Source organism: Homo sapiens, chromosome 10, assembly GCF_000001405.40.
Source record: "Homo sapiens chromosome 10, GRCh38.p14 Primary Assembly".
Classification (NCBI taxonomy): Eukaryota; Metazoa; Chordata; class Mammalia; order Primates; family Hominidae; genus Homo; species Homo sapiens.
Window position 1 is genome coordinate 80255760 of NC_000010.11, and position 14398 is coordinate 80270157.

The following is a 14398-nucleotide window of genomic DNA, read 5'->3' on the forward strand; positions in this document are numbered from 1 at the left end:
TCATTCATTCTAGAAAGAGTCACTGTGCTCCTAGTGACTGCCAGTGGTGCCTTGTGAGCAGATAGACAGTAATACATCCCCATGAGGTGGCCAACTTCTGACAGGGAATAGAAGGGGGCCCAGCAGTGGCTGTGGAGCCTGTGAGGGGCCTCGCAGAGACTCAGGGTTTGTCAGAGCCCATTCCCCACTGAGCCAGCTGCCCTCGGTAGAACCAACTCCAGGCAGCTCTAAGGGAAGTTGAGCTGGGTGTAGACATTTCTCCATAAGTCCTGTGCCCCCCACCATCTTCCTGTAATTTTTAAATTGTGTGATAGGCAGAGGTCGGTGGTGAGAGGCTCACTGAGCAGGACTGGAGAGGAGTAGAGAACGCAGGGGTGAGTTCAGTCAGAGGATGAGACAGGCAGAGAGAAGAGAGAGAAGGGATGAGAGAGGGAGGGGAAGGACAGAGAGAAGGAGAAAGACAAGGAGGATAGAGAGAGAGGGGTTGAAACAGTGAGAGAAAGAGAGAAGGGAGAGAGAGAGAAGGTGGAAGGTGAGGAGAGAGAGAGAGAGAGATGGAGATGGGAGGATGGAGTCATGGAGAGAAGTTGATTTGGGCCCAGGGGGAGAAAAGGAAAGCTGGAAGAGACAAAGACAGAAGGACCCACAGTGAGAACCAAGGGAGTTGGAGGGAGGGAGATGTCCAGAGAGCTGGCCAGTGATCCACACACGGAGGGAAAGGCAGAGAAAAAAAGACAGAGAAGAGAGGAATGAAGACAGGAAACAAGAGAGATGGAGAGGACTGAGACAGGGAGAGGAGGCTGGAGAGAATCACAGAGAAACAGCACAATAGAGGTAGGGAAAGAGTTGTTGAGGACAGGGTCACAGAGAGAAAGGAAGGACAAAGAGGGAGGCAGAGAGAAGCAGAGAAAGAGAAAGCAGGGAACAAAAGGGTGAGCCTGCAGGAGGTGGAGGGGGGCAGATGGCCTGGGTGAGGGGACAGCAAAGGCAGGTAGTCCTGGGACTCAGGAGCCATGGGAGTTCTTGCACTCCAAGGCTGTGACCTCCTTAAGGCCCAGCGCCATGAAAGCCCATCACATGGGGACACGCAGGCCTCCCTTGTGGCTGGGTTGCTGTGTGGAGCCTCTGGGTCTGTCCCTGAAGCAAGGACTTCCAGGGGAAAGGGCTGCCCTGTCTCAGGTTTGCCTCCTCTGTGGGGTGGGGATCCCAGCAGCCTCCCTCGCTGCCTGGTCCCTGCTGCATTTCCCATCCTGGCCAGCTAGGTGGCTGTCAAGTCCCATACCTGGGAACCAGGCTGAGACCCTTTGTCCAGCCTCATCTGTTCTCACCTGGCTCCAGATTCCAGCCACAGCTCTGGCAAACAGTCCACACATGCTGGCTGTCACCAGATCCACATACCCCGGGTGGATTCCTGCCCTGTTCCCACAGGACAGCCCTCAACCAATGGAGACAGGAACATGGAGTTAAATGCTTCTCCCTTTTTCACTGAGAGAGAGACATGCACAGTCTGATGCACTTTCTTTCCTTCTTTCTTTTTCTTTCTTTCTTTTTTTTTCTTAAGACAGTATCTCGCTCTGTCACCCAGGGTGGAGTGCAGTGGTGTGATCTCGGCTCACTGCCCCCTCCGCCTCCTGGGTTCAAGCAATTCTCCCACCTCAGCCTCCCGAGTAGCTGGGATTACAGGCACCCGCTACCATGCCCAGCTAATTTTTCTATTTTTAGTAGAGACGGGGTTTCACCGTATTGGTCAGGCTGGTCTCAGACTCCTGACCTCGGGTGATCTGCCTGCCTCAGCCTCCCAAGGTGCTGGAATTACAGGCGTGAGCCACCGCGCCTGGCCATGATGCACTTTCTAGATGCTGTCCTAGAGATCACACTGGGTTAAGCCTCAGTTGCCTTCAATGTGGTCATCTCTACAGTATACCCTTAGCTTTTTTCTCCTCCTTTACTTTCCCAGACCCTCACTCTGCTCCCTGGATTCACTTTTCGAAATAGTCCTCCTGCTGCAAAGTCCTGGGCACCTGCCCTACTTTCAGCATTGGAAGGGGGGCCCAGGCTAAGACCATGAGGCCCCACTGTGGGGGCCCACAGCCCCGTTCCTCCCTCTATTCCCACCACAGTTCCTCCCTCCTGTCCCTCAGTGCTTCCTCGCCTTTCCCTCCAGCCCACCGTGAGATCCCAGGGGACGGAGCAGCCCCTTCTCTGCCCCAGTGCAGGGCTTGGCCTTAGCACACGGTCAGTCTGTGCTGGGGTGAAGTGGTGAATGAGTGAGTGGTTGAGTGATAATGCATCATCAGATCTGTCTTTTCCACATGTCTCTATCTCCACCCAGAACCAGTTTTCTCATCCACAAATAGGCATATGAGGTTGGGTGCTCCTAAACCCTGCAAAATTCAGAGCTGGCACAGTTGGGAACTGACCTTCCTTGACCTCACCTCACTTTCTGTATCTATAAAATGGGGTACCTGCCTCTAAGAGTAAAAAGGAGGCCTGGCATAGGGAAAGAAATTCTCTCAGCTCGAGCACCCAGATCATCCATCTTGCTCTCAAATACCTAATACAGGGGACCATGTTTTCTGCTATAATTGGTATTGGAGCTGGTACCATTTATTAAAGGCAATTCAGTTATGAAGCTTCATTTATTAAAACAGTGTAGTAAATGTGTATGTATGGACAGACAGATAAATATAATAGAAGAGCAAGTCCAGATGTAGACAGAAATCCATACAGAAATAGAGAATGGGACAAAGGAAGCATCTCAATGCAGGGTGCTCAGACACCTGGCCAAACATCTGAAAACTAAAAGAATAAAATTGGCTGGGCACAGTGACTCACACCTTTAATTCCAGCACTTGGAGAGGCCGAGGCAGGTGGATTACCTGAGGTCAGGAGTTTGAGACCAGCCTGGCCAACATGGTGAAACCCCGTTTCTACTTCTAATTTATGAGTTTAATTAGTTCACATTGATAAGGATAACAGAAATATTTGGGCTTATTGCTGCCATCTTTTGTGTTATACATATACCCTTGGGATGGATATTCCCAAGGGTCATGGACTGTGCTGTGGACCACACACTACGCAAGGCCATGAGACAGAAGCCAGGCCTGGAGGGACCTTCACAAAGGACCTTTGGGCCTGCTGGAGTGCAACTATGGCAAGTGACCACAGCGGAGACACTGGCCACTAGCCATGTCTGCTCCCACCACAAAGCCTCATCCAGGTAACCCAGCATCACTCTTCTTGGGGCTGTGCCCACTGCCCTGGCTCTGTCTGCCCATGGCCCTGCAAACATCCACAGGACAAACAAGGAATCTGTATGAAATCCCTATCGGCATCCATCCTGGTCCTAGGAACAACAGGAGTGTAGAAGGAGGAGGATTAAGAGCCTCAGCTCATATGACCTGTGGAAGATAGGACAGGGCCAGCTGGCTCTTCCCTATAGGGCCCAGTAGCACACAGCTACTCGAGGACACATGTTAGGGATAAATATGAACCTGGGGGCCAGGCGCGGTGGCTCACACCTATAATCCTAGCATTCTGGGAGGCTGAAGCAGGTGGATCACCTGAGGTCAGGGGCTCAAGACCAGCCTGGCCAACATGGCAAAATCCTGTCTGTACTAAAAATACAAAAATTAGCTGGGCATGGTAGTGTGTGCCTGTAATCTCAGCTACTCAGGAGGCTGAGGCAGGAGAATCACTTGAATCCAGGAGGCGGAGGTTGCAGTGAGCCGAGATTGCGTCACTGCATTCCAGCTTGGGTGACAGAGCAAGACTCCATCTCAAAAAAAAAAAAAAAAATGAACCAGAGAAGGGAGCAGTGCACTAACGCAGAAACCCACTACTGAGCTGGAGGGAAGCAAGAGGCCAGCAGAGAGCTGATCTACACTTTGATGTGGCTTTGCTGCATCTGTCATGAGGCCTGCACCCACCTACAGGTCCACTGTAGTCAAGGTAGACAGGTCAGTCTTAAACAGAGCATTACAGCGCCCTGGGAGGTGGGAGTCTCTGCCACAGGCGGGACATGGGCTAGTGTCCTCAAGCAGAAAGGCTCTTCAAGGTGCCATGCAAAGGTTGGCATCCAATCCCACAACCCTCTCCCAAAAAGAGGAGCATTTTGGCCCCCCAAAAAACTGTTTCTGGGTCAGTGGAGCCTGATGGCAGCCATCCCTCTCTCTACCACCGGAGGAAGAGCCAGCCACCCTTTTCCTTCCTTCATCAAGGTAACCAGCCATTAGCATCCAAGCCAAGGGGCAGGGGAAATACAAAGAACGCATATTCACACAAAATTTCACTCCATGCTTAACCAGGCTCTGCTCCTTATTGATAACGGTGACCCTGCAATGGGCCTCAGTTCTTACGTCTGTAAAACAGGCATAAACAGCTAGCTCCCAGCTGACAGACACTGGTTGCAGGAACGGCATGGGATAAGCACTCATGTGCATTATCCTTTCCGCCTAAGAAAAGTACTCCCCAAAAGGCTGTGCACAGTGGCTCATGCCTGTAATCCCAGCACTTTGGGAGGCCGAGGCGGGCGGATCACCTGAAGTCAGGAGTTCGAAATCAGCCTGGACAACATGGCGAAACCCCATCTCCACTAAAAATACAAAAATTAGCCAGGCAAGGTGGCGGGGGGTGCCTGTAATCCCAGCTACTCGGAGGCTGAGACAGGAGAATTGCTTGAACCCGGGAGGTGGAGGTTGCAGTGAACCGAGATTGCGTCACTGAACTCCAGCCTGGGCAACAGAGCGAAACTCTGTTTCAAAAAAAAAACAAAAAAGGTCCCCCCGCCCCGAACAAAGGAGAAAGGCAGAGCAGTCCCTGAGACAAGATGGGGCGCAGGCACACCAAGGCCCCCGGAAACCTGGTCAGAGTGTCTGTCCCAACTGGCCTGCCCTGTTCAGAGAGATGGAAAGCTGGGGAGAGTCTTGATCTCTCGGGGGCTCTGAACGGCCTCCTGGTGAGGGATGGGGGTCCCTGAGCCCTGAGGCTTATTATCCCCCATGGGAACACACAGAACTCCCTGGAACCCCCTCCTCTGTCCACAGGGAATGCGCGAGCCACCTCTGCCCTCTACTGGCTGAATTAAAAACTGCAGCCAATTGAAGGATGGGCAAATAAATGTCACACATCACTCTCCCTGTTCATTCATTCCTCATTCACGGAGAGCTGCTTTGTATCAGGTGCCAAGATAGGACGGGAGGCATAATTTTAATTCTCTGTGTCTCCAAGGCTGTATCTGCATGAATTCTCCTGTACTTCCCCTGCTTCCCAAAGGCCTGGTCTGACAGGAACAGTCTTCATCTTTTTTCAGGGCTGTTCTAACTGTCTCATCCTCATTTGTCCACAGAGGCCAGCTCAGTTCTGTGCCCCTGGAGAAGGCTGATGTGAAGCACTATCCATTGCTGAGCACTTGCTAGGTCCTAGGCACTAGCTAGACCCTTTCTGTCTACCATATCCCTCCCAAGCTCACTGCAAGGCACGGTCCATCTTCATTCCCTTGTAACAGCTAGGGAAACTGGGGCTCAGTGAGGTTCCACAGCTTTTCAGAAGTCGCATGGCCTGAAGATTCTAGAGCCTGCTTCAAACCTTGTTCCCCCTGACCCCAGAATCTCTGTTCAGGTTTCCCTGAAGATGCCAGAGTGTGTTCGGTCCACAATGACCACAGTTACGGACCAGGCCCAGCCTGGTCAGGCTCACCTGGCCTTTCACACTGCAAGGTGGACCTGGTCTGAACCTCAGGTCCTAGGACTGCTCACTATATCACCCTGAGGATCCAGCCTTGCTTTTTACCTATAAGGTGTGCATATCTATCCCTGGGCAGGCTTGATCCTGGCTCAGCATGGCATCCCAACCCCTAGTCCTCAAGCTGCAGACACCCCAGCGCTTCGCCCAGGCTGCCCTGAGGCCTTTAGCACACGCATTGTACAGATGGTGATGACACTGGGGCAGGCTTTTTACCCCAAATGAAGAATCTGAGGGCCCAGTAAGCCAGATGCGCTGGTGAAGAGGAATCCCAGCCTGTACCAACCTCTCATTGCCTTGAACAGCTAAGCTCAGTCCAGCTCTGGCCAGGACCCTTACAGCCAGGGGGCAGCAGCCCTGCTGGGCCCAGACCAGGAGCCACCTACCCTTTAGAATGTCAGCACAGTCAAACCATTCTTTTACATTTATGGAGACTGACAACTAGCCTCCACTGTTGTCTTATCACTGAGCAACACAGAAGCATTGGCAGAGAGGAAGTGTTCTGATATTTCAAATGTTTCTGGTGGTCGAAATGCTCCCAGATAATAGCATAGTTTTGGAAATAATGGACTACATCATAAAATTAAAATTAACTCCTTCTGTTTTCTAGAACTTATAATGAGAATAATTTAAATAACCATTATTTACCAAATTTTATTCATATATGTATAATACTATTGATGTATCATTTGAGGAAAAGTAAAGCACATATAAAAGAGGCTTTTAAATTAAAAACAAATATAAGGGACTTTTAAAAGTTTGTGGGAAAATGAAATTAAAAGACAAGAATAAAAAATATAAACTTTATTTCTCTCAAGTTCTATCAAGGTCAAGACACTTTTGTAAGTGATGATATCGTCCATTTTGTCCATCTCCAAAGAACTGAGGATCCTGGGAATTTAACCATGTCAAGGCAGTCTTTTTTACATTATTAAATGGAGAAAAACGGGTCTCCTTTAAATAATTTCTTAAGATTAGGAAACAAAAAGAAGTCATAAGGAGCCAAATCAGGACTGTAAGGTGGATACCTAGTGATTTCCCATTGAAACTCGCAAAATTGACCTTGTTTGATGAGAGGAATGAGCAGGATCATTGTCATGATAGAGAACTCTCTGGTGGAGCTTTCTTGGGCATTTTTCTCCTAAAGCTGTGATTCTCTCAAAACACTCGTAATAAGCATATGTCACTGTTCTTTGGCCTTCCAGAAAGTCAACAAGCAAAATGCCTTGAGCATCACTGAAAATTGTTGCCCTGACCTTTGCTCTTCACCTGTCTGCTTTTGCTGTGACTAGGTCACCTCTGCTTCTTGGTAGCCATTGCTCTGATTGTGCTTTGTCTTCAGCATTGTACTGGGAAAGCCAAGTTCCATCTCCTGTTACAATTCTTTGAAGAAATGCTTCAGGATCTTAATCCCACTTGTTTAAAATTTTCATCTAAATCTCCCCTCCTGTCTGCAGTTGATCTGTCCATGGTGTTGGGTCTTTTTCTGCTGTTCATCATTGATCCTCTTCAATTATGGCATGAAGAAGATGAATATTTTTCCTTACAAATTGATATGGATGGTCTACCGCTGTGGACTTCATCTTCCACATAATCTTGTGGTTTTTTTTTGTTGTTGTTTTTTTTTTGAGATGGAGTCTTGCTCTGTCACCCAGACTGGAGTGCAGTGACATGATCTCAGCTCACTGCAACCTCTGCTTCACGGGTTCAAGTGATTCTCCTACCTCAGCCTCCCAAGTTGCTGGGATTACAGGTGCATGCCACCATACCCAGCTAATTGTTGTATTTTTAGAAGAGATGAGGTTTCACCATGTTGGCCAGGCTGGTCTCAAATCTCTTCCTTTCTTAAAATGTGTTTTCCATTTGTGAACTGCTGATTTTTTTGGGGGGGGGGATGTTGTCCCCATAAACTTTTGGTAAAGCATCCATGACTTCACCATTCTTCCACCCAAGCTTCACCATGAATTTAATGTTTGTTTTTACTTCAATTTTCACAGAATTCATGTTGCTCTGGTAGGTGCTCTTATCAAGCCAATCTCTGATCCTTCTCAGTGCCTCAAACTAGACCCTATTCAGAAATATTATAACAAGTTAGTGTGAGTTTATTTTGGTGTAAAAAAAATTTGAAGTCCATGCACAGTTTTTTCATAATACACATTTTCCATGAACTTTTTGAAGCCCCCTCATAAATAATTCAAAAATACATTTGGGAAAATTTGAGAAATTATGTAGGGCCTGGTGGTAATTGGGCATTTGGACTGGCAGGATCATGTGGTGGCTCAATGAGAAGCCAGAAAGCAACTCTTTCCCATTTTCTGGGTGGGGGCTCCAGCCCCTGAGTGGGGATAAGGAGGAAAGCAGCCCTTCATGGAAGCTGGCTCAGGAGTTCACCCAGGCTTCCTGGAGAAGGGGACAGAAGAGGATGTCTCCTTCCCATGAACTCCACATTTGAGTTCACTGGAAACATAGGCTCTGGGAATGGAGGGGAAGAGGGCAGAGGAAAGGCTGGCAGCTGAGGTGGGGTATAAAGGGAGGGGAGTGTCAGAGGAGGCTGCGTCCACGCCTGGAGGTCAGAGGGCAAATGCCCCCAATCACGCTCCATCTGGGTTATCAGCTGCTTGAGGATCCATGTCCAGAAACTCGGGGAATCACTGTGTCCGTTTTCCTTGCCTCGGGACTGTGCCTCTTGTCTGGAGATGATGAGGTTTCTTTCAGCCTCCCATGCTCTCCACCAATGATCATGAGTTTCCATTCGAGACACAGAATCTGGCTTTGAGAATAAGAAACAGTTCCCTCCAGCTTTTCTTCAAGAGCCTCAAGTCACCTTCTGTAACTCCAGATCACAAGCTGGACCCATCCAGGGCAGCAGGCACTCCTGGGCTTTGACCTCCTCTGTCTCGAGGTGAAACTCGGTGAGGGTTTTACATTCCACTGAACTACTGCTGGACTGCAGTGGCACGTCCCTGATCTCTGCACAGAATGTCTTTCATCCCCTGGTTAAACAAGTCTGTCAAAAACAAGAGAACTTTCACCACACGCATACCATGACACCCTCACCACCTCCCAGGGTGATCCAGGCCGAGCAAAACTTGTGCTCACCTGCTTCTGCCTCAAGCTCCATGGAGTCTGCTGGGTTCACCAATAAAGCAGCTCACGCGAGGCTGAAGGTCCTCCCCCATTTCCCAGGCTGCTGCAGAGCTTCTTGCAGCCACCATGGCCAGCTGGGCCGAAACACTGAGACCACTGACCACGGTCTGCCCAGAACCACACCCGTGCCTGGCAACAGGGCAGACTATCACTGGAGAGGCGTGGGGGCACAGCGACAATAGAATCACACCCTCCACCCTGCCCTCTGCTGAACCCCCTCCTGTGGCCCCAGAGCACTCTCCCCATCCTGAGCGCTCCCTGTTCTCTCTGCCTGGAAGGCTTCCTCCGGCTGCTGGCGTGGAGCACATATGTCCACACAAAATAACTGCACTCCTTACCGCAGGCCCCAGGGGTCCGGGGCGGGCCTGGGGCGGCTTGGTTCTCAGTGGAAGGAGGGAAGGAATGCCGCGGAAGGAAGGAACAGGTGAGTGAGTGAGTGAGTGAGTGATGAGGCCCAAAACCATCCCTTGCCCTTCCTCAGAATTCACACTTTCTTGTTCTCTCTTGTCAGTTGCTTCCCTAAGGAAAGCTTAAAATCCCTGTCCACAAAATACCTGAAATATATAATTAAAAATATACATGTATATATTATATAATTTTAAATATTTAACAAATTGAAATAAATGCAAATCTATACACTGATAACATCAGGTGATCATATAACACTAAAATTCATCATTTTGGACTACAATGAAAATCTCAAAAATGTGTTTGGAAAGTACAAATAATAGAGATTATTTTCTATTAATAACGTGTCAATGAAACTAGAAATGAGTGAAAAATTGAGGAAAAACAGCCACATAGGAATTTTATGACTCCCCCATAAGCCATTTTGGATCAAAAAGCCACCAAAACCAACATTCAGTTCAGAAAGTTAAAAATGGAAAAGAAACACAAGGAAAGCAGAGAAACAGAAATGAGATCAAAACGAATTAAAATGTCTTAGAAACTGTGAAGGCTTTGATGCAAAAATCCAAAAACAAAAAAAAATGGCTTCTTTCCTTTCTTTTAAGAGAGGAGCAGAAATATACAATTAAAGATGAGATCAAACAGAAAACCAAAGACATAGAAGAGAACTAAGTTCAGAGCTGCTTTGTAGAGCTCAGTGCTAGAGGTGGAGAGAGCTGGCCATGCCTGCTGGGAGGGGCGGGGCAGCCCAGGAAGTGGGAGTGGGGTCGGCCTGGTGGGGGTTGGGAGGTGGGGCCCTGAAGCTGCTGCTGGGCTACTTTTCGCCCAAGGGTGAAGATGGAACAGCCCTGGGTTGTCTATACAGGTCGCGGCCTCCACCTCATCCCACCCCACTTACTCTCCCGAGGAGGGCATGGATACCATGCCAGGGGGCCTGAAGAGGGTTGCAGAGCCCTGGAGGAGGCCAGGGCCAGGGGCTGCCACGGGAAGTGGAAGGCAGTGGCCCCCACTCCTCCCAGAGAGGCTTCTGGGAAGCCTGCACAGAGCCTGGGAGTCCAGGGCTGCCCCTCCTGCTGGAGAATACACTGTTCAGAACTAAAGGAACAGCGGGATCCCAGGACTTCACAGCCCGGGAACAGTCCCTCCAGAGCAGCGGGAACCAGGCAGTGTCCTGGGCAGATCTCGAGGAAGTGGAGGGAGATCCAGCCGGCTCCCACTCTTAGCTCCCATCCTGCCCACGGACACAATCTGCTCTCTGAGTGGGTGGTCCTCCAAAGTGTCTTCCCCTGCCAGAGCCTGTTTCCTCCTGGTCACTTGGGATTCTGACAGCCTCCGAGGAAAGGAATTCCTGTCCTCTTAGGCTGTTGTGACTGGCTCCGCAGTTGCAGTCTTGGCCTGTGAAGGAGGGGGCTCCTCCCAGCCAGGCCTTGTGTCCCAGGGCCTTTCTGTGGGCACTCCTGCAAACACCCCAGAGGCAGCCACCTCAACCCTGGGGCAGGAGAGAAGCCCTGCTTTGGTGGCCCAGAATGGATGCTTCCCTAAGATCCACCCACCCCATCCCCCAGTCCATTCAGCACACGCTGACCTTGCCCTCCTGGGGTTCTGTCCCCTAGGCCTGGGAGCAAAGCGATTGTCTCTATCTTGATGCCACCTCTGACCGCAAGGTCAAACTAGGCAGACATGACATTTACATTTCAAGAAGAACCATATTTTCATCCAGAAAGTCTGTACCAAGTTATACCGATCAACTGTGTTTGGGGATATCTATTTCCTTATATCTTTGCCAGCCCTGGATTTTAAAAACCTTTTTCTTTTTCTTTTTTTTTTAAAATTTTTTATTATACTTTAAGTTATAGGGTACACGTGCACAACGTGCAGGTTTGTTACATATGTATACATGGGCCATGTTGGTGTGTTGCACCCATTAACTCGTCATTTACATTAGGTATATATCCTAATGCTATCGCCCCCCACCCCACAACAGACCCCGGTGTGTGATGTTCCCCTTCCTGTGTCCAAGTGTTCTCATTGTTCAATTCCCACCTATGAGTGAGAACATGAGGTGTTTGGTTTTTTGTCCTTGTGATAGTTTGCTGAGAATGATGGTTTCCAGCTTCATCCATGTCCCTACAGAGGACATGAACTCATCATTTTTTATGGCTGCATAGTATTCCATGGTGTATATGTGCCACATTTTCTTAATCCAATCTATCGTTGTTGAACATTTGGGTTGGTTCCAAGTCTGCTATTGTGAATAGTGCTGCAATAAACATACATGTGCATGTGTCTTTATAGCAGCATGATTTATAATCCTATGGATATATTCCCAGTAATGGGATGGCTGGGTCAAATGGTATTTCTAGTTCTAGATCCCTGAGGAATCGCCACACTGTCTTCAAATCTTTTTATTTATTTCTTTTCTTTCCTTTCTTTTTTTTTTCTCGCCATCTGTTTGCCGAAATACAATGTTGCATTTTTTAAAGTGTTTATTTTTTGAAACAAGTACAATTGAGCAACCTTTGTTTCTCCTGACTTTCTCCATTTCTTTGATTATATTTACTTATTCCTATCCGTCTAGTTTTTTCCATTTCCTACTGGGGCTTGTATTGCTTTCTTATTGAGCTGCGGTTCACTCCATTCAAATATTTTCTACTCTGTCACTTATCTTTTACCCTTACTTGTGGCTTTTTCCTAATGCACAAGAATTTCATTTTTAAGAAATCAGATTTGGCAAGTGTTATGGAGTCAATGTTTGTGTCCCCCCAAATTCAGATGTTGAAATCCTAACCTCCAATGTGATATCAGGAGGTGGGACCTTTCAGAGGCGGGGCCCTCATAAATGGGATTGGTGCCCTTATCACACACACCCCAGCTCTCTCACCCTCTTTCTGCCGTGTGAGGATGCAATGAGAAGTTGGCCATTTGTACCCAGAAGTGGGACCTCTCCAGAACCAACCATGCTGGCACCCAGCTCTCAAACTTCCAGCTACGAGAACTGTGAGAAACAAATTTCTGTTATTTATAGGCCACCCCGTTTGTTATTTTGTTATAGCAGCCTGAAAAGACTAAGACAGCAAATTATTTGGCTTCTGATTTCCATCCTGTCCCATAAGAGTCACATGAAAGTGTCTGACAAACCTCCCATATTATAGGGACTCCACTGTTGAGGTTGTAAGCTCTCCTGTTCCCTTGGGTTGATTTCCTCTCCCCACTGAATTATTTATCTACCCACATTGTTCTGCATCTGAGCCGACATGAACCAAACTCAGAACACAGTCCTTGTTCCTTCTTTCTCCAAACGTTCCTCATGGAGGCATTATGGTAGGAAGGAAGAAGACCTCATAGGCCAGGGACCAGATGTCTGTCACATTGCCTCTTACACTGTGCCTGAGTCATACTTACTCTAGGGAATTTGCCACAGGCATAAAGTTATTCTAAAGTTCCCACCCCATGCCTTTCATCCCAGCTAACCCCTGCTGAGCTAATTATTTTCCCCAGACTCAACTCTCATCCCATATTCCTCCATCCACTGCCAACTCCAAAGTACCTCCTATACTTTTCAGACCAAGCTCCCACCTCCTGAGCCCCATTCATACCTCCTATGTGTCTGCCCCTCATTGGATATTACATTTCTCTGGGACCTCTGACATGAGATGTCTTCCTCATTGGCATGCCACGGTTACTTCTAGGGTTGAAGCAACTGAAGTGCAGAGTGATCAATTGTATGGAGGCAGAAATTTAAAAATAATAAGTACTGCATTCATTCACTCCAAGAAAAGTAAAAGCCAAGGCCCAGAATGTGGCAAGGCAAGGGTTAAAAAGAAAAGACAAACAAGTTTTCCTCTGCCTAGCAAGCTCACTTCAAGGACAGTTATAAGATAACGCTGTTCGAGAAGTTGAAACCAAAGGAATAGGCTCCAGACACCCCACCTCAGGAGCAAGGGTGAAGGAAAAGAAAAAAAAAAGGACAAATATCTGTATTTAGCCAGTTCTTGTTTTTTCTTTTGATGCAGCTAGAAGGCCACCAGCTATGCAAGGCCACAAGTTATGCCAAGTCATCAGTTATGCTATAGATTATGTGACCTGTCATTATATGATTAACTGCCTTTGTTTTGCTTCTGTAGATTGCCTATAAAAATCCTGCTCAGTCTTTGTTCAAGGCTCAGCTTTTTGGATGTGAATCCACTGAGCCAGTGCACACCTTAAAATAAATACCCTCCTATATTCACCCATACTGGTCTCTCTAGTCCTCTGTGACCTGTAACGGTATAAATCCTTATAGTCACAGTGCTATGCTCTTAACAGGTGCTTTAAAAAAACAGCTCTGTGGAATGATTGACATTTACATCTCTGAGCAGCTGAGCCTGGCAAGACCTACCAAAGGGCAAGCAGGATCCTTATATCTTGCAGAATATCTTGCTAAGGAGAGCTCAGGAGGCAGAACAGATGGACACACCTCAAATTCATTCTCTGATATGACCCGTGCTACACCAAGCACCTACTCTGTGCCAAGCCCTGCATTGAAGGCAAGTATGAGACAGCAGACAAGGCCAGATGACCTTGGAAAGCCCCAAGTCCTATGGGGGCAACAGGTATAAATAAACAAGCATTGACATCCATAAAGAATTCCAACCTTTGAGAGTAACTGTGTGTGATGATGTGTTCATAATTTTGATTGTGGAAATTATTACACAGTATATACATATAGCAAATCACATTATATACCTTGAATACATACAATTTTTATTTGTCAATTATACCTTAATGAAGCTGGGGAAAAAAGCTTTCTTATTTGGGTTGATACATCATCTTCAGAGTGTGAGCAATAGAATTATTGCCATAACATTATTATTAATAATTAATGAAAATATTTAGTTATTTAAAGAACTACAACCTTTGAGAGCCCGGTACCAGATGGAGACAGCATTGGGTGTGATTTATGGAAGGTGCTTGGGAGCATCTTCCTGGGAGATTGGGAGCATCATGGAGGGTGGCTTGTCAGCTGAGACTGCAGGGATTTGGAGGACCCGCATGTGAAGAAGGAAGGGAGAGTGAATGGGTAGGGAAGGATTCAAGTGAAAGGCTCCAAGGAACATCATGT

At 47.8% G+C, this 14398-nt stretch overlaps 5 annotated features.

Annotated features, from left to right (window-relative positions):
* Positions 593-1093: an enhancer, noted in NCBI's record as "H3K4me1 hESC enhancer chr10:82016108-82016608 (GRCh37/hg19 assembly coordinates)". NCBI's record gives its function as "activates a minimal SCP1, AML or CMV promoter by ChIP-STARR-seq in primed H9 embryonic stem cells {active_cell/tissue: H9 hESC(primed)}" and the evidence as "EXISTENCE:reporter gene assay evidence [ECO:0000049][PMID:30033119]".
* Positions 1094-1594: an enhancer, noted in NCBI's record as "H3K4me1 hESC enhancer chr10:82016609-82017109 (GRCh37/hg19 assembly coordinates)". NCBI's record gives its function as "activates a minimal SCP1, AML or CMV promoter by ChIP-STARR-seq in primed H9 embryonic stem cells {active_cell/tissue: H9 hESC(primed)}" and the evidence as "EXISTENCE:reporter gene assay evidence [ECO:0000049][PMID:30033119]".
* Positions 3754-4048: a silencer, noted in NCBI's record as "tiled region #3184; K562 Repressive non-DNase unmatched - State 20:ReprD". NCBI's record gives its function as "represses a minimal TATA promoter and a strong SV40 promoter by Sharpr-MPRA in K562 cells {active_cell/tissue: K562}" and the evidence as "EXISTENCE:reporter gene assay evidence [ECO:0000049][PMID:27701403]".
* Positions 8535-9066: an enhancer, noted in NCBI's record as "H3K4me1 hESC enhancer chr10:82024050-82024581 (GRCh37/hg19 assembly coordinates)". NCBI's record gives its function as "activates a minimal SCP1, AML or CMV promoter by ChIP-STARR-seq in naive H9 embryonic stem cells {active_cell/tissue: H9 hESC(naive)}" and the evidence as "EXISTENCE:reporter gene assay evidence [ECO:0000049][PMID:30033119]".
* Positions 9067-9597: an enhancer, noted in NCBI's record as "H3K4me1 hESC enhancer chr10:82024582-82025112 (GRCh37/hg19 assembly coordinates)". NCBI's record gives its function as "activates a minimal SCP1, AML or CMV promoter by ChIP-STARR-seq in naive H9 embryonic stem cells {active_cell/tissue: H9 hESC(naive)}" and the evidence as "EXISTENCE:reporter gene assay evidence [ECO:0000049][PMID:30033119]".